The 20,792-nt window shown below is 32.9% G+C and overlaps 1 protein-coding gene and 1 long non-coding RNA gene across 8 annotated transcripts in view; one reads left to right on the top strand and one right to left on the bottom strand.

Annotated features, from left to right (window-relative positions):
• The window catches only part of SCN1A-AS1 (SCN1A and SCN9A antisense RNA 1), a 220,254-nt gene that overhangs the window by 39,784 nt on the left and 159,678 nt on the right, over positions 1-20,792 (bottom strand). Inside the window, exons 5-7 of the long non-coding RNA NR_110260.1 lie at positions 13,725-13,806; positions 12,617-12,658; positions 10,089-10,222 (exon numbers count right to left, since the gene is read on the bottom strand). This is a non-coding gene — a long non-coding RNA (SCN1A and SCN9A antisense RNA 1). The remainder of the gene's footprint in view (positions 1-10,088; positions 10,223-12,616; positions 12,659-13,724; positions 13,807-20,792) is intronic.
• The window catches only part of SCN9A (sodium voltage-gated channel alpha subunit 9), a 180,803-nt gene that overhangs the window by 113,987 nt on the left and 46,024 nt on the right, over positions 1-20,792 (top strand). For all 7 annotated transcript variants that reach the window (XM_011511618.3, XM_011511617.3, XM_011511619.3 and 4 more), the window contains 2 exons: positions 10,116-10,236; positions 19,345-19,499. In XM_011511618.3, the coding sequence (XP_011509920.1) occupies positions 10,116-10,236; positions 19,345-19,499 (276 nt within the window). The remainder of the gene's footprint in view (positions 1-10,115; positions 10,237-19,344; positions 19,500-20,792) is intronic.

Here is a 20,792-nt window from a genome sequence, read left to right as displayed (position 1 = left end):
TAAAGCATCTCCTTTGTCATGACTTATTATGTTATTACAGAAAAGTATTAAATCAATTTGGCATAATTTTTTCTACACATCACTTTGCTCTCTTTGAACCTTTGTGTTCTCTCAGGACAATGTATTAAGTAGAATTGATTTATTATTATATTATCTTTCACATTAAGGCTATATTAGGGGCTAGGGAGTACACTTACTGCCACACCAAGGTACACATGTTAAGATCTTAACTATTTGAATAAACCTATTTTACTTAAGGGTACATGGGTAATCCCTATTTTTTTGTGTGTGTGTTTTGTTATTTTTGGCTATTTCTGAGTCAGGACTCTGTTTAACTGCATGCAACAGAGACTTAACTACATTGGCATAACTGGATAGAACATTCTGTTTTCATATTTTAAAACATCCACAGATCAGCAGTCCACGTGGCCTCCATGTCCTAGGCTCCATCTCTTCTCCCTTCTGCCAATCTTCACATGTGTTTTTTCTTCTATATTAATGCCTATGATTAGAGGTGACTGTTCCACCTACAGCTTTATATCCAATACCCAGGTAGAGAAAGAAATAGAACGAAGCAGAAGTAATGACTATCCCACTTGCCTGAGGAAGGGCAAAACTTTCCCAGAGATCCTTATCCAACTTTGGCTTATGTCTTATTGGCAAGAACAGTGTGACATGGCCACCCCTAACAACAAGGTAGCCTGGCTGAGGCAGGACATTTATCTGGGCATATTGCTACCCTGAATAAAATCTGGATTCTCTTGGTAAGATACCTTGGAAGGTATTAACAAGGTCAGGCATGCTTCTCCAATATTACTACTGCTACTAATTATTATTATTCCTTTATGAAAATGTCAAAAGAATTGAAGGATGGTAATTTTCTATTTTAAGAGATGCAGTTACTAGGCATAATTTGGAATAATATGCATCAATTGTAATGTTATACTTTGAAACATATTGTATAAAATTACCAAAAAACAAAAGTTAATTTTTACTTATTGAATTAGAAAATATATATGAAAATAAGAATATTTTAAGTTAAATAATAAAAAACTAAATATCCAACCATTTTTAATCTGCAAAAACTAGAAATTTCATGTGGCTCAACATAATACAAAGGCATAAGTAAAATATAAACTTCATTCTACCTGTATAATCTTATTTCTTAATTACATAAATATTATGTTACTGAACACAGATATTTTATTCATTTCTTTTATTTGTGCATAGTAGAGAACACATTAAAATTTTCTATGACTCTCTGCCCAGAATTATAATAGGCATAGAGTTTTTCTCTCCTAAATTACACTCATGAAATATTTTTGGCCCCCTATAAATATTGAGTCCCCCAAAAACCACACTAAAAACTTCATGTACTTCAAAGGTAAAGGGTGATTGATCATTGACAACAAAAAGTATACACTCTAATAGCTTGCACCTTAGGTAAATATACAAAAAATTATAACACAGAACAAAGCAAAGCACAATCCGTAACAGGACACTAAACTAGTCCATTGAGGATGCATTGAGTAAGGGGCTGTATCTGGCTGACTTCACATGAAAGGAGGTGGCACTTAGACCAGACCTTACAGTATGGAGAAAATTTCACTGGGCAGATGTGGTACAGAAGGAAATCTCAGGCAGAGGAACAAGCATTCATATTGTTCACCTGATTCACTCATTCATTCATCTATCCACCCATTCATCTATTCAGTGTTCAGTTTACAAAGTCATTATCTTTGGAGATACTTAAATATGCTTATTATTATGAAATGTAGTCATTTTGTTGACCTGATAAAAAGTTGTTTCAATATTTGCAGTTCCCAAATTAAATATTTAATGTCCTTTTACTATGTGGTGGTTTTAATTACACTGTTATCAAGACTTTCTCTCTTTAGATTTTTAATCAAAGTTTTAGATTTACCTTCTGCTTATTACTACACTTTAGAAAATATAATAATCTTTTAAAAATGCATTTGACTTTGAAAGATTTAGGGATTAGTTACAGTTATGCTGTTTCGTAAAATTGGCATTTGATTCTATATTTTATGCATAGATTTTTTTTAAAAGCACTCTTCTGTAGAATTGCACTTAGACCATTTGTTTTTTTCAGGTTGTTTCCAAAGAATTTGAAAAATCTTTCCATCTTCATTGGATTTGTTTACGTGCCTAAAAACAATGAAATATTTGTCTGACATATTCAAATCAATGTGTCTTATTCTTTATATTTTGATAAATTTGGAAACTTCACTTTTTTGCAATGCTGTTTAAAATGTCAAAATTAATTAAATAAAAATAAGTCAATCAAGAAATGCTAATTTTAGAATATGCTTTTTAAAGCTGCATACTCTTACTGCCACCTCACCCCCTATACTGAGAATCACTTATATTTAAATGTTGCTTGCATTTAAGGAAAAATAGAATGCAAAACATTGCATTAGCACATTATAGTATTTAAATTCAATTTTTAAATAGTAGAGTAGAATTATGTAACTGTTTAATTGATTGTTTTTAAGTCTCTGTTGAATGACATTTAATCTTAGTACTGTGATTCAAATATATTGCTTAACGTTGAGTATATAGCATGTACTTTCAAATATGTAACTAATTTCTACTTACAGGTATATGACTTTAAACATTTTAAAACACAGTTGACTAAACTCTTTCATCATGCTGCATTTCTAAAATTCAGTACCTAACCTTCTTCTCACAGGGGTAATATCAAACTGGATCAGTCAAGGATGCAGCTCTGTGCTTTTAACCAGGCAGAGACATATGTCACCACTTTTACACAGGTTACCTAAAAAAATCATACATACGATATTTTTTCAATGTCTTGCATGCTGTTCAGCTACAAAACCTTTCTGCCTGACCCACTGCAAGAAAGTAGAAACATATACAGTTGTTCAATAGATAAAGTGACATCACAGCATGTCACCAGGGCAATTTGATTATTTTTTTGTGATTCTCTTGATGACTTCTTGATGTAACCTTCATGTGCTTAAGTGATTTCAAGTGCATGATCTGTAGATTTTTATTGAATTGATTATAAAAGTAAAATGCAGAATGTAACAGTAGCCATTGAAGCTACATTTAATTTGAAAACCTCTATCAACTTCCCTTCCTGATTTAATCTACATAAAAATATGGAGAGATGTATATCACATTAAATTGTCACATTTAAATTAAGTAGATCAAAACTCTAAAAAATTGTGGAAGAAGTGTTTCTGGCATAAATATAAAATCTCAGAGCAGGAAAAGATCATTGTAATTCTAGCTTTGTATTTAATAATTCTGGTTATGTATTTATGGATAAGCAAATTGAGACTCATGCTTTCTTAGTACACATCTAGAAAGTTGGGGTCAAAGCCAAAGTACCCTGCTTCTAGTATAAACTTTGAATACATTTTGAAATGGTTTTATGCACTGTTAGTTATGGGACTTTATTTTTTTAAATCAACTCAGTAATTAACATTTGATTTTATTTGCTCCTATATAAAATGCATCAGTTAAAAGTTGATAGGCCTTGCCTATGAATGAATAAGTGATAAGTGTTCAAAATGTTTAATTTTATTCCAGAAGTAATATTACTCATTGATAAGAATAAGTTTCTGATTATATACATAATCAGATCAGTCTCTAGAAACTAAGAGGTTTAGATAGAGCATATTATAAATCCTATCTATCAATAACACATAGAACACTTTTACTGAAATTAGATACAGATTAATATGTATTGCCTTATTGAATATTTCTAAAATGTATTAAAATACATACTAAGATATATTTTAATTTTAGCATACTTTGTTGAATGACTGAACTTTAATAGTTCTAGGATGGGGGCAGGAATCTCTGCCAATAAGAATCTTGACTCCTTTTTATAATCTAGTTCATATTTTGAATTTCTCTGTCATTGTTGAGATGTTTGTATTATTGTTATCTATTGTGCAATGATGAAAGCAAAACTTTATCCTGAAATTGACACACCTTAGAGATAATATTGCTAACAGTTTCAAATGAAAAATTAGTTATTTTAGTGTTCCAGTTTATTTGAAGATAATTTTAAAGGTGGCCTAAGTAAAAGATATATTTTTCTATTTCAAATTTGGTGGGGATTTAGAGGCAATATTCTCATAGAAAACTATTTTATTCCAGAATATGGTGAATTTTCTTCAACTAGAGCCTAAATAAGGATGCATATACACCCAATATTATCTATATAGGTATAGATAAAACATATAATTTTTGAGAAAGCTATTTCTAGAAATATATATACATGCATAGACATATAAACATATGCATATATATGTTTTGAATTCATAAATTCTTATTACTTTTTTACCAAGCTGTTAGAAAAGATGAGGTACATGTTAATGAATGGTCATCCTCTTAAGAAAAAAACTGAATATTCAGTTAAGAATGACTTGAAATATGGCACTTTAGCAAAAGCTGCCTACATAAAGGATATAGTTATTTTATCCATGTAAAATTTCTATTTATATTTTCAATATTAGAAATCCACATGTTTAAAAAGCTAGTAATTATTCCATTCATTAAAATTCACTTTTCCTTGCCCTCCTTCATTGTGGGTAGTATTAGTAGTTAACAGAAATGATTCAGATATCTAGGTAGCTTACTTTGTGTTTGTCATTCTTGTTTGTTTCAAAATTATAGATAATATTTACGAAGCTTGAGTCTGCGTATCTACACTTTGCCTTTATGTTTGCTAAGGTTCCAATCCTTCTTTACCTACTTGTTGCATTTTTTTAAGCTGGCATAAATAGCAAAATTGTTTAAATGTTTGCTTCTAAAGACTTTAAGACACTCTGACTTGACCCACTGTATTCCAGCTGCTTTCTCTGCAAACAGTGTAGCAGTTCTGTGACAGAGCACAGAGAGAGCCCTTGAATATCAATGGCCACTTTACACTCCTAGCTCTTTGCTTCTCTTCTTTTCATTAGAAAGATGCTTCAAGATGATACTATAGGACCTGGCTGAGAAATCTGTAGCCAGTCTAGCCTTCTTACATGGCCAACTGTTGTTGCTTTTATATGATTTCTTTATATTCATATCTTATCATTTAGTCACGTAAGTTTTCATGTTATTGGATAGAAAGTGCCCTAGGTAGAAGATTCTGAGAAAAAGAAGAGGTCTCCGTGAAATCACTGGTTTTATTCTGAATTTCTCTGGTGGTGGCTGAGATTTGACCTCATTATTTCACCAACAGAATACTATATATCATGTTGACCTTGTGATGGAACTGTGTGTTTCACGCTGAATAAGTAGCTATTCCTCCCAGAGCCTACACAATATTTCTCTGCTAGCAATAGACAAAGAAAAATAGGAAAGGAAAAAAAATTGGTTTTCTTGCCCTTTTTTTAAAAAAAGAGCTAAAGTTTTAGTTGCCCATAATTAGAATGTGAGCCCAGAATTTATTGCAACTAGTTAATAAACTGACAATTTTCTGCTAAATTAGTGGAAGTAACATTAAAACTTAGACAACAGAAGAAAATACAGTTGAGTTTTCCACTGATCAATAATATCTGGAGTATTTTTTAATTATTTCCATTTTTTTCCTGAAATTCCTGAGCTTCAGTGATTTTTTAACTTGAGGCATTACCTTTTAAAAAGAATCTTGAGAAATTTCATATCAAAAAAAAAAGATTGTAGAGACCTCAAGGGGCCCAGAAATCTAAATCATGTTAAGAAATGTGATTACACTCAAGATGAAAAGCACTAATAGTAATATCAATAATATTAATGACCTCCAATTTTAAAAACTCTATAAGAGGATAATGTTCACATTTCTCCAGAAGGAAAAAAATAAAGGCCCTGAATGATTGCAAGAGAGAAGAAAGGTTATTTTTGTTCTACACCAGAAGAGAGTATTTAAACATCTAGTTGTCCTGTAACATAATGGGAAACTTGGAAAATATTGGACTCTTATGCCACATAGTAACTATGTGTGGATTTCTTCTCAAAGGATCCTTTGATCCTTTAATTGAAATTTACTATTTTACTCCTTAATGATTCAAGAACACAATTATAGATATTGACCGTAAAACTACACAATTAAATTAAAAGATGGATAATAGTAACTTGAAACTAATTTTAAAATGTCTTTCTTGCTTATTAACAGATAATGGAGCTTAGTTTACCACTGTCTGCCATAATTTTTCTTCTCTTTTATACCCATCTCCTCCTTTTGATTTGCTTCTCTCAACTTTCTTACTGTCTTTTGTGAGTATTTTAAGGCTCAGGTGAAATAACCATTCTAGGCTCTGCTCCTTAAAGAATATCTTTTTTTTTGTTGTGTGAAGCAAACAGTTTATAGTATGTACTTGAAATGTAACATTTTTCAGTTCTTTTCAGCATCAATCATTCTCTTTGAGTAAGGTTTTTGTTGAGTTCTGTGTTTTGTACAGTGCTGCTGTGTTTGATAGTTTCTTCTTTTGAGCGTTAGATTATCAAGTCATTAGACACTCCTACCTCACACCTCTTGGAACAATAAATAACTAGCATTAACCATCATCCATGATAGCATGAAATAGGCTTACATCGTTAATGTTTATCTTAGGAAATGCCAGTGATAAATTTGTAAGTGAACAACTTAGGACATGTTCTAATATGATACATATATTTAACACAATTTCTACTCAAGCAGTATAGTAGAAAACACAGCTTCAAGGCAATCAAAGGGAAAACCATGAAGAATAATAAAGCTTTTAATTTGGACATATTTTCAGTAATTGAAAAGGAGCATCTTAAATAGCTACATAAGTTTACAATCAAGATAAGGATTGTTTCACAGCTATAGTGTTGTATGGATGCACACTGAAAAATATGGAAAGATATGTCTCTCTCTCTCTCTCTCTCTCTCTCCTCTCTCTCTTTTTCTCTCTCTCGATTACCTCAAGGGGGTTGAATCAAGGAGATAGTGGAGGGAACTTTTATTTTGCACTGTAAATACTATTATACATTTAAAATGTTTGAGTCAACTATATCACTTTCATATTTTTAAAACACTTTTAGAAGGCACAGTCAATATCATATTATTCAATAAAAAGGCAGGAATGCTAATTATGGTACACTTCTGATTCCTAATACTAGTGAGTCCACCTTCTTGATCCTATGCTTATATTTATATTTACTTTATTTATAACTAGACTGCCAATGATGAAAAAAATTGATACTTCCCTTTTATTAGAAATCAAATCCATGTGAAAATTACAGAAGGTCCTATTTATAATAGCAAAAGAAATTTCTTTCATACTAAAGCATTTATTTCACTTCTCTAATATAGTCATTCTTTCATTTCCAAAATTACATGGAAAACTAAACAACAGATGATTGAGTTTAAAGAAATGAAGATAATATAGAAATTAATCATATAAAATAATACAAATAATTGATATGATCTTCCTTGTATAGTAAAAAACATATATTCAAAGTACTTAAATATGGTGATGCCTACTGTGAGAATTCAATATATTTCACCGCAGGAAAAAAAAACTTTATTATATATATCAGCCTTTCTATATAAAGGTATTCTCTTAGAAATCTGCTAAAGAAGCTTATACTGTAGCAAGTATAGATTTCAAAGGCTGAATTGACTAGAACTGTCTATATTGCTAAAGCATGCTTATAAACATTTAATTTTATATACAGTATGGAAATAGTTACTGTTTGAATACTTAATGCATTCCCAAGAAAACATTGAATGTCTAAGAATCTATTAGCCATAATAATTTGTCTGTAAATACAAATTAATTAATAATAGTTCATGTTAAATATTTTGATAATTTCTGTCCCATTGAACAATAATATTGAATAACTTTATGATGTAAAATTCTGTGCCAAGCTGAATTCAATTGACCATTAAAAAAACATAAAACCTGCATATGAAAAAAAGTTTCAACAACAAGATACACTATATAAAATCACGTGAATTTTTACTTGCTCATAATCTAATTTGGCATAAATCTTTGTTAATGCTCTCTTAAACAGTGAGAAAACCAATTATTGATGTTTGAAGATGCTTTCATGAATTTAGCTAAAGTCAGAATTCTGCAAATAAGAATCATTTTATTTAAAAGTTGTTACCAGCTCAGAGAAAAACCATTATAACTATTTCCTATTGTTAATATTGTGTCTAATAGCAGGGGGGTGCTTTGTATTCTTTCTATCAGCAATTCCTCTCACTGCTTTACCTCAAAACCCAGGCCAATAATTCTTTTTTCAGAAATGAAGGGCCTGGTCTTAACTTCACAGAATAATAGGGCCTTGTCTTTCACTTCTCTGGTGATAGTTCACGTGCAGCCGAGAGGTCAGGAATTGAAGCCATTAAAACTGTAGTCTTCTAAATATGGTACTTTGGATTTTGTGGCAATTGGCACAAAATACATATTAGTAATTATAAGTTTATCCAACATCGTTTCCTGGATTAATCTGTATTTTAAAACTTATATATTTTAAAACTCATTCTATAGTTTATACTTTAAAGCCTATTCTATAGTTTTATAGAATATTCAGTTATAATTAATTTCTATTATCTTATTTTAAATTAAACTAATTTAGATGAATTCAATCAGTTTAAATAACATGTTTTTGAGTGAAATTTTGTACTGATACTTTCATAACTGAAACTGTTATCAAACTCCTGGACCTGGTGGGAATAATGCCTCTAGGCCAACATAGATTGGAGGAGTTCTCTTAATAGGTTGTTCATAATTATTTACTCCAGTTATAAGAAAGACATTGTCTGCTTACATCATTCCTTATGTACAATACTTTATCCATGCCATTTTTATGATGTTGTATACTAGGTGATAATAATAGCATTGAGAATTTAATGTGGTACCCATCAAGAATACTTCTAGCTTCCAAGTCAATCTCTAAAAGTCAAACCTTTAGATTGGGCTATCATATTAATACAAATTCATAGATTGAGAATCAATTTATCTGAAATAAGTATTTTATTATTTTTAGCACTTGCACTTGCTTGAACTACTCTAAAAAAGATAAAGTTGTAACTTAATAAGAGAATTGTGTTGTAGTAACTAGTAGCTTTCAATATTCACATGTCATTTAGCAAATGAGAATGAAAAATTAACTCTTCCATTGATATGCTGCTTTACTCCTTTATAAAACAATATTTGGGAAATTTGACAGAGTTTTGCTACAGTTGCTGTATGTATTTTTTGTAAAGATTTCTTCGTGTGTGTGTGTGTATGTGTAAACATCATGGTTACTCATAAAGCTCTGGGTGAGAAAAACCTATTTGCGTTATGATCACTTATATGATCATAATGACAATGAATTCATTATTCCATGTGTAAGTCTGCCATGTTTAATTTTCTTCGATCTTTGTTTCAGAGTTTGCATGTGGTGCTTACTTTAGTAGCCACTTTCTTGACATTATAAATAATACTGTTTGATCTTTTCTACTATATACTAAAATGTTATATACAAAATGGGTGGTGTTGGTATGGTCATTGGCATTTTGATTTCAAAACCGTATTTGATTTTGTGGTCTTGATCAAAGAACTTCTATCTATATCATCCTGCTACATATATTTAAATTCAAGAGATAATAAAAAATACATTTGGACTTTATCTTGCACTTATCTTTTTAAAAAATTTTAACTATCAATAAGTTTTTTGCCAACTATTTGATCTGAGCTTTCAATGATCAGGCATTAGTAATTTGACACTTGTATTATATTGCAAATAGGGTATAGGTTGTCCTCAAATAATGATTGTCAGTGTCCATAAATTTATATTAAAAATTTAAAAAATAAGATGTGGTCAATACTTTCCAAAAGTGATAGTTAACATCAATATATTACCTTATCTAATTTTGGCCACGTACTTGTTAGTATAATAAACATAATAAAGTTTATTATTTTACAGGATGGTGTAGATAGAAAGATCAAGTATAGATACATTTAAGGTTACTTGACCTCAATATGTGTTTATACATTTTTTATGGCCATCATACTATTAATCTTTTTTCATAATACTTTGCATGAGTCTGATTATTAAATAAGGCTTAAATATCATATTTGAATGAACTCTAAATGAACTACCTGGTGGGGTGGTGAATTCCTTTCTAGAGATTAAACCGGTCAAGCTCCTCAGAGTGCAGCACAGTTGATAACCCTTTGCCTGGAGAAGGAGAAGAAGCAGAGGCTGAACCTATGAATTCCGATGAGCCAGAGGCCTGTTTCACAGATGGTAAGACAAAAATTGAGACCTTGGTTAGCATTCCTTAATTAGTGTTCTGGGGTTTGTCTTAACGCCTAATACTTACCAGAGGTTGTCGGTAAGTCAGAAGACTCCATTCCATGCTGATTCAGCTATAGCTGTATGATGATTAAGGGCAAGTCACTAGAGCTCTCTAAGCTTGAGTTTCCACATCTATGGCACTTGACTAACAGTAATTTCCTATCACTGTATGTTAGACTGTAAGCATGCTACTACTTCTTATTTTAGAGCCTTAATTCGTATTCCCAGATCAATGGAACCACCAGAATACAAGTTAATGAAAGAGTCTGTACTCTGGTCCTTTTAATCAAAAATGGAATCTACTCACTAACTCTCAGAAAACTGTTTGATACTGTTGACTACAGTCTCTCTCAAAATTCTTCCTTTCCTTAGTTTCAGAGGCCATAGTCTACCTTTGGTCTTTTATTTGTCTTAGAGTTCTGAGTTCCTCTCTCTATTTCTTTAATGAGTATTTTTTCTGCACATCCTGTAAATAATGATTTCTCCCCACATGTTCAATCTTCAGTTATCTTTTCTTATTCTGAAGCTCTGAGGTGTTTCATGCATGCCTGTGGCTTGAAAAGCCATTTCTGTGCTATTGACTCTTAACATCAATGTCTTTACCTCTAACCTCACTCTTGAGTCCCAGATCTGCTTACAATTCCCCATTGGTCATCACCATCTGTTGTTTGTAAAACATTCCAAGTTTAATAAGTTTTTTTTTTTTTGAAAAGCAAAAACAAAAACAAAACTTTAGTATGGTTTACAGCTTCCTCCAGTCTTTATTAGTAACTTCATGATCTACCTTACCCTCAAGCTAAAGACTTTGAGAGACCCTTAAAGTTTTCCTTGCTAGTCACAAGTTCATCAGGAACTCTGGAGATAGGGCCCAAGCCCTTAAGAGGATTTGCATGCACACTAAAATGTGAGAATCCTTGGCCTCTAGGGTAAAGTCTGAAGTCCTTAACTTGACATGTAAAGTTCTTTACATTTGGCCTTAGTCTCTTGTTTTGTAACAGTACCTCCTTCTACTCCTGTATGCTTTCTGATATGCTGAATTTCTTACTACTTCTGGAATTTGTCAGGGATAATGCAGTATTGTCTGAACAAGTATTGTATCATCTAGGTAAAAATACAAGCCCAGAGTAGGGCTGCAATGTAATACAGTAATACAAAGTTCAAACTTTGGAGCCTGATAAACATATGTTCTAATTTGCCGACTTATCTGCCTGTGAGAACTTGTGCACAATTTAAAATCTTGTTCTTCAGATATCTCATCTGTAAAATGGGGATATCAGCATCCACATCACAGCGATGCTAAGAGGATCAAATAAGATAATGATTATAAACTTACTAGCACAGTGCCTATCTTCCTTCTTCTACTTTTCTTATTCTTCAAGGATTCTGTTAACAATCTTATACAGAAGTTATGATAGCACAGATGCTAATGACTTATCTAGTCATGGGCTTACCCTCAGCATTAGTATTTTTTGAAAAATCATCGACTTGCTTTCAGTGTCCAAGATTTTCTCAACTGGTTTCTTATAACATTCATGGGTTAAGCAAAATGATTGGAAAATAAAGACATCAGCAAACTACAAAGAGTGCATGGATTTTCTTTAAATACACACCAAATATCATTTTATGTAAGAAGCAAAGGTGTACGACATCCAGTCAATATAAATTTTGTGCTTGCTGAAATTAGTGCTATAAGCAAATGCACAGTTTCCTTTAAAAGTGTCCATGTTACAGAGATTTAAGAATTTCATCAACATGTATGGCCTGCTCCTCAAGAAATTTATTAGCAGTATATAGACTTAAATTTGTATTGATGCTACCAAGATTTTCCCTATTCATTTTATGAATGATCATGACTTAAAATTCTAGGATAACTAGAAAGAAGTTGGGCTTATCAATCAACTTAAAGTTTCAAACCAAAAAATGACTTCAAAAAACTTAAACTCTTACAGAAAGTATTAATACTATGCTATTTCAGACTGTAGGTGCTGTTATAATAAGATATAATACAAAGTTTTTTTAATCCTATAAACATCAATGAAAATACTTTTGTGAATACTCTGAGATTATTCATTGCTTCCAAACTGAGGCCAGTATAGAAGAAATATTATGGAAACACATTTTCCAATGAACCTGGGCTTGGACCATTGAAATTTACTGAGGGAGCATATATCTCTGAGTCACATCCCTTTTATGTGCTCCAGCAGAGACTTCATACAGTCTCTGGATCTGTAGCCTAATAAATTCAGTGAAGCAGCCAATTTGCTTAGCCTTTCAACCGTGTATTCACATAATCATTCTTTATTCCAGTAAACAAATAATTATTAAATACCTGTGTGCCAGGTCCAGTTCCAGGCACTGGAGGGAGATGGAGCTGTGAACAAAACAATACCCCTTGCTGAAGAAACATATCAAGATGTAGCAGGTCAGATAAGTGAAAAGTGCTATGGAGAAGGTATATGGAAAAGAGGAATACCAAGAGTGAGGGGGAAGAACTTACTAGCACATAAATATGCTATCAATGAATGATTGGTCAGAGAAAGCCTGCCTATAAAGGTGGCGTTTCTTCCGTGATGTAAAGAAAATTGAAGGGGGCCGTGCAAATATATGGAGGGAAAGTATTTTAGGCAGAGTAATGAAGGCACATGCCCCAAGGTGAGGATATGCATAACATTTGGGAAAAACCAAGAGGCCAAAATAGATGGAGAATAATGAAAGATGGGAAGAGGATTAAAAGTTAAGGTCAGAGGCTGGGTGAAGTGGCTCACACCTATAATTCCAGTACTTTGGGAGGCCGAGGTGGGCGATCACTTGAGGCCAGGAGTTCAAGACCAGCCTGGCCAACGTAGCGAAACCCCATTTTTACTGAAAATGAAAAAAAAATTAATTGATCTTGGTGATACATGCCTATAATCCCAGCTACTTGTGAGGCTGAGGCACGAGAATTACTTGAATCCAGGAGGCAGAGGTTGCAGTGAGCCAAGATTGTGCCACTGCACTCCAGCCTGGACGACAGAGGAAGACTCTGTCTCCAACAAACAAACAAATAAAACAAATGACATTATTTTTAAAAAGTGTAGATCAGAGATGTAGTAGAGGCCAGATTATAAGACATTTGAAGAACATTATAAGGATGTGATTTTAAAATCTCACAATGTGCAATCTTAAGAGTGGAAGGGCGAATAGCAATGGCAGAAGCTGGAAGATTTCTTGGAGTTTCTGCATAAATCCAGGTGAGAGGTGATGGGAGCTTAGACTAGTATGGTAGAGTTTTGTATAGTGAGGGTGTGACATGCTGAGTATATTTTGAAGTTAGAGCTGAAGGGATTTGTTGATGGATTGAACATTGGGTGCTTAAAAACTGGAAATGCATAGTTTCCACATGAAGACTGAGAAGCATGGGCTTGTCAGAATGAAGAATCATGAACATGTTTACTTACAAGTTGGTAATTGGTCTACAAGAGCTGGGCTAGAATCAATGCCAGTTCAGAGCAATGTTTCACCTCCAGAGATCTCTGCTACCTGAAAGGTAACAGAAAAAATTAAATGAAGTATGAAAAAGAATTAAATCCAAGTAGCATGTTTTTACTGAAGATAAATGTTAAAACGATTTTGTTGTTCATAGTCTCACATTTGTTGATTCATTTCAGCTTCATAATTATCACTTTACTAATGTATTTCATTGATTGCATCTGGTTCCTCTTATTCACCTTTTCTCTCCCTCTTATGCAAGGTTGTTCCTTAGCTCTGTGTCTATTACTTTGTATTTGAAGACTTCAGACTGCTTCCGTATATCTTGCCCTGTTCTTTACTATCCTTAGTTCTACATGACTTGGCAACCTATATAATTATGAACATGACATGACTCTTTGGGTCTATGTGGTTTTATATTGTGCTGCTTTTAGATTATCAAATTAGTAAATTACATAATCAGGATTAGAGTTAGCGAAAAATAACCTTTTTCACAAGGTCAAGAGATCGAGACCATCCTGGCTAACATGGTGAAATCCCGTTTCTACTAAAAATACAAAAATTAGCTGAGCCTGGTGGTGAGCGCCTGTAGTCCCAGCTACTCAAGAGGCTGAGGCAGGAGAATCGCTTGAACCCAGGAGGCAGAGGTTGCAGTGAGCTGAGATCCTGCTACTGCACTCCAGCCTGGCAACAAAGTGAGACTCTGTCTCAAAAAATAATAATGGTAATAATAGTAATGTATTTTTCTGTTAACTTGGTAGGAGAAGCCAAATCATCTTCCTTTCAAAATGTTTTGTATTCACCCCCTTCCTATAAAATAACTAATAATTAATTCTAACTTTAGTAACACAATAACCAACTCCTTTGTGACTTTTATTTTTTCTTTCTTTTGGAAAGATAATGTTAACAAATATTTGTTTTAGTTATATTTGATGTTAAGAAATGGTGAAAAAAGCTTGTTTTCATAATCAATTTTTAAATTAATTATATTGATCATGCTGTTATGGTTTTTAATGAATAGTCTGTCTTTTGAAGTGGTCAGTGGTTTCTTTTTTCTTTCCTTTCCTTTTTTTTTTTTTTTTTTTTTTGAGAGCTTTGGTTTAACATGATGAAACTCAGCATAGACTTTATGTAATGCACCATGAGAGCACATTAGTGAAACCACCCAAAAGAAATAGCATTTACTCACTGGGACCCATTAAAATGTTTGAGAGATTCTCTGTTATGTTTACATTCAATTAATAGTCCTTTTAAAGAGAAGGTATGATAACATTGCTAACCAGCTTAGTTGGAAATCTCTTGGGATATACCTTTGCACAAAAACCAGACAGGCGCTCCATCACTCTTGCCTCAAAATAAGAGAAAGAAACTCTCTGAGGTGTAATAAACCCTGAGGGCAATATTTATGAAACTTCATTTCAGATTGAAAGTTTACTAACTTTTCTAATTAGGATTTTTAGTGTTTTTATTTCCTCAATCATAAGAATAATGTTTCCCTTCAATTTTAAGATTGACAAAAGTAAATCCCAGAGAGCAAAATCTTCTTAACCAAAGGGATAATTTTCTTATCCAATAATTTGCCCCTGAGAAAGATAAATTCTTTCTTATATGTGATCATTGTTTTTAAGTTTAAGACAAATTCTAAAGCACTAAGTTAATATTAAAAAATTCATCTCATTTTTTTCGCTCTCTCTGGTATTTTTATTTTCCCTGAAAAAGATTAACTTAGAGTTAATTTTTGACCCTACCCTTTTACTCTGTTTTTATATCATTTTATCGAATGTTCTCTCTTAACTAAATGCATGTAGATAATAATTATTTAAGTATAGGATGATACATAATTTCAGATCTGAGATCATGTTCACTGTAATTAACATTGTATAAATGAAGCTATGTGTAGATTTTCCATTCACCTTTTTTTTTCTTTTTCATCCAATGTTTATGTAAAGTATAGAATTCACAGAGATGTAACCTTTCAAATTATGACTAACTGCTTAGAAGATTATATAACTCTTTTTGGGGAATCAAGTCTTTTAAAAATCAACTATAAATGACCTATTAAGCCAAGTAGAGGACTATGATGAGTACTATAAGCACAAAGAGCAAGCATTACAGACTCAGTTTGAGTCTTCTGGGAACTTAGAAACTTCCAGAGAGAAAAAACAGGAACACATAAAATATACATGATAACAAAAACACCAGAGACATAGGGGGAGAGGGAAACACCTTGTTTGCTGTATTTCTATAGAGCTGGAAATTAAAGTGCTAGAAAATAACCTTATATCAACTGGATCAATGCACTAATTAGACTTCAGAAACATGAAAAGATTCATTACAAAACATTTTCTACCAGGTGCATCTTGTCAAGAGGATTCTAGTTTTGTTGTTTTAGAACATACAACTTATGATTATCTGAAGTTGTTACTTGAAAACTCAATACTTGTTAATGAATTATATTGTTTTACAGAAAAGGAGATCAATCTTTTAGAAATATCTAAAATTCAAACTTCTGAAACAGGTATCAAAAAAGTGCTGCCCATTCTTACTTTCCCACCTCCTGCCTTCATCTAAAATGAGGTTTTTCATCTAAAATTTTATGAGGAAGAATTCACTGTAGTTACTTTTTAAAGAGTCTCTCTTTTCTTCAGAGTAATTCTAGTTGCTTTAATAAACTTTAAATTGATTAAAATTTTTCAATGTTTCAATCATTCTCTTTCTGGGCCTCTTATGTTCATAGCTCTGTTTATCACTTCTTATAAAACTTTTTACTCTTTGGTTTCTCTTTTACTGCACCCTCTTGGTCCTTCTTGTTCATCTCTCATTTCATCTACTTCAAAGTTTTCTCCTCTACCTGTCCTAGTGATGTGTAGGTAAATATTTTTATAAACTGGTTCTCCAAGGAAAATAAAAAATGTGTACTTATATCATTTACTATAAATTTTACTGATATTAGGATATATGACACACAATTTACAAATAATAAAATATTACAACTTTTTATTGAACATTCTGTATATCAAATTGTTTCTCAAAGAATGCTTTTTTTGAACTTTGCCAAACTTTTGCATGTATAGGCAACCTATTTTTGCAGCTAATAAACAAGTATAGTTTTAGCATGAAGACTGCTTGATATTTATGTTAGTCAGTGAAATAAAAAAGAAATGAAGAAGCTATATGTCAGAACTTTACTCATTCATCAGTGATGTAAGCAATTATTTGCAAATCAAAAAACAGAATTTCAATAATGAAAGGATATTTTTTAATTTTTGTGCTATTCAGAGTAATGGCTACAAACACAATACACCTTGACTGTTTATCTGTTTTATTGGCATTTCCTCCATCACCTTCTTAATTCTACTCTAGAAAATCAAGAAGCTCTCATTTGTAGTGCTTGGAGATTTTTGTAATGTAAAGATTCCCACCATCACTGATTTCAAACTACTGATGTGAAATTGCTAAATGCAGAGTTAAGAAGAGATTCACAGTAGCTCAACAGTGTGACATACTTCCACCATCCAGATAGAATAGGCCAGATAGAATAGACCAGCATCCAGAAAGAAGAGTTGCACAGTAGCCCAATAGTATAGCATATTACTACTGTCCAGAGAGAATAATCCAGAGAGAATAGACCACCGTCCAGAAAGAAGAGATGCACAATAGCCCGACAGTATGCCATACTTCTGCTATTCAAACGGAATAGACAAATAAAATACAGTAAAATAATTAGGAAGTGATATGTCTTAGTATTTATTACCTTTCCTTAAGGTAAGTTATAGAATTCTAAGTTTATATAGTCAAATATTTAATAATGGCTGCTTTTAACAACAGACAAGCAGGAATTTCTGACAGTTTAACAACAAGAATTGGTATGGTCTGCTTTCAGCACACCATTGAATTCTCTCCCTTAATATTGTTGTTTCAGAATGTTTCGGAGTTGGCCCTTTTTCTGCTCACCCTAAATACTCTTTTTGTGTGACCTCAAAAACTGTTCTGACTTCAGCAGATACATGTATGCTAATTATTACTAAGAATTCTTTTCTAGACAGGTTTTTCCCGTTTCAGGTTCCCACCCCCATTTTTAAAATCTATAGGATATCTGTATTTAAACAATTCACAGGCATCTCAAAATCATTACCTGCCGAGTCAGCTCCTCCTCCTGTGGTTTTCAATTCACTGCTAACATCCACCTGGTAGTCCTGGGATCCTTCCTTTCTCTTACATTTGATATCCAATCAATCACCAAATCCTGCTGATTTTATCTGCCAAATATGTCTTGAATCTGTTACAACTCTAGTTCCTAACTAATCTTTCCCTCCAGACAGGATACTGGACCAGAATCCAAATGGTTTTCTGGGTATGAAACTTTCTTCACCCCTACTCCTCTCTATTCACCCTTCCAACTTATCCTCCATGTACCGTGGAGACATCTATTTACATTGCAATTTGCGTATCTCGTTCCCTGCTTATAACCCTTTACTTACTCCTCAACCTCAATAGGATATAAGCCAAACTCCTTAAGGTAAAGGCCAATGCTTTCCATAATCTGACCAATTTTTCTAAGCTCACCTCTCACCCTTGCCTCTTGTGTACATTCTGCTTGCATCACAATTCTAAACTGGTTTAAATTTCTATGCATAACAATTTTTGCTGCCTGGAATTCCACCCAAACTCTTTTTTACTGATATTTTGATTCAACCCAGGCTCCATCTCTTCTAGGAAGCCTCTACTGATCTCTCTTTCTCAAGAAATAAGCCAGGTGAGATTGATTTCTTCCATGCTATCAAAATGAACCCTGACTATCTGTCACTTTAGTTGCCATATCTAGTTATAGTCATTTATTTCTGTTTTTATCTACCTAACCAAAACCTAACATAAATTCACTGAGGAAAGGAAATCATGTACAGAGGTGAATACATAAAAGATACGTAACAAGGGTTTGATGGACAAAAGAATGCGTTAATGAATGAATAAACCTAACCATTTTTAAGTACAATTTTCAATTTTTTGTAGCAGTATATTTTGTACATAAAAATTTAAAGTCACATTTGTTTTTAACTTAGAATACTTGAAACAGTTTCATCTGGATCTTCTAATCAAGATGAGTTTCTTTTGAACTTAATTTCAGGAGTTTCCACTAATTTTCTCAATATTGTTTAGAAAGGTGTATTTCAGAGGGTTTTTACCATAGAGGAGTGGAAGTATCTAAAATTATAGACTAGAAAAATTTATCTGTCAGAAAAGAAGACCCTAAAATTCATGTCGTCTTCAGATTTTAGTTCATTCATTCATTCACACATAAAATGAAAGTGGTTTAAAGACTGTGGAGGAGACTGAAGAGAAATTGGGGATTACAGAAGACAAGAATACATTGTAAGCTAAAACTAACTAACAACTATTTAGAAAACATCATGCAAAGTTAGAAGATGAAGGAAGGCAGCATCCAAATTAAATCTATCTGAAATTGCAAGTATAGGTGTTGAAATTATTTGGTTGAGGGAGTATCACAGAAAGCAGTTTGCATTAAATAATGTATTAAAAATTTTATTTATTCTGAATATCAAGATTTAACATGCATGTCTTTCTTGTCAGGTTGTGTATGGAGGTTCTCATGCTGCCAAGTTAACATAGAGTCAGGGAAAGGAAAAATCTGGTGGAACATCAGGAAAACCTGCTACAAGATTGTTGAACACAGTTGGTTTGAAAGCTTCATTGTCCTCATGATCCTGCTCAGCAGTGGTGCCCTGGTAAATGATCTGACACCTAAGTCAATATATTGATTAAGTCAATATTCTTTAAAATGAGCTAAAAGATAAAAATATCATGGCAAGTTGTTTTACCTAGAATTAATCCCTATGATTAGTGCCAATGACAAAATTTTACTTGAGCTCAGTAAATAGTTACTGAGCACTCCTACATGCCAGGCATTATCCTTGCTGCCCTGAATGCTGTTGTCCAAAGGACCACCCAGATGGCTATAATAGAAAAGAGAATTTTACTGGCAATATCAGTTTGCAAAACAGGGAGAGAGTCTGTGGCATAAACTGAAAGCACTTTCCCTGTAGAACAAAGAGAGAAGGTTAGAGGTTTTATTAAAATGGGAAAATGTTATATATTGCTCTTTGAGAAAGTTCATTGGCCCTAGTAAGGATCTGGGGAACTGGTAAGCTCCAACTGGCGAGCAACAGTCGTTGGCACAATTAGTCCTAGAGTGTAACAGGTTTCCTCAGAAGCTATAGATAAAACTAATTTCAAGTTACAACAAGCAGCTTCAACAGTCAGTCTTGCAGAGAATTATAATTCTTGGAGTAATGTTTTGTACCCTGAGAGCTTTTCCCCCTGCCTTCTTGACTCTTAGTTGACTGTTAGTTGAGTAGGACAAGAACTACCCAATTTGTATGATCAACTTTCACAATGCAAAGATAAATAAGATCCAGGTACTGTTTATTCTTAAGGAGCTCAGAGCAATGGAGAAGAGAAGAATACAAATGAGTAACTGTAGAGCTTGGATGTGTTTGTAAGCAAAGTGTAAATGTGACAAAGTTCTGTAGCAAGGAGAACAACTGCTTGCAATTTCAGAAACGTAAATGGTGCTTTTCAGGGTCTAGAAAGACGAACAGGAATTTTCTAGTTAGGCAAGGCAGGCTGAGGGGAACAAGTATACAATCGTAAGGAGGCATAAAACAGCATCAGATATTCAGGAAATTAAAAACTGCTGAACTGCAAGTGTGGTGGGAAGAAGAACAAGTACAGGTGGCCAGAGATACTATGAGAAAGCAAGGTCAGCTTGTGAAGCATCTTGTGTGTTATAAAAAGGGAAAACAGATGGTAGTTTTAGGATAAAAGTAGGACAAGTTTCTCATTCTTGTACACATACAAGCAGCTTCCATGAGAGTTGAAAGAGATCTAGTAGAATTACAAGCTACCTGAACCTTTTTCTTAATTGTCATTTTTCCTGCTGACGCTGACAGAGATGAGCCATTAGAAGCCATTAGGAGCCCAGATCTAGCTAGATATACCACTGGAAGTTTCATTATACT

The sequence above is a fragment of the Homo sapiens genome, chromosome 2 (assembly GCF_000001405.40).
Source record: "Homo sapiens chromosome 2, GRCh38.p14 Primary Assembly".
Classification (NCBI taxonomy): Eukaryota; Metazoa; Chordata; class Mammalia; order Primates; family Hominidae; genus Homo; species Homo sapiens.
This window is presented reverse-complemented; position numbering and strand designations above follow the sequence as displayed.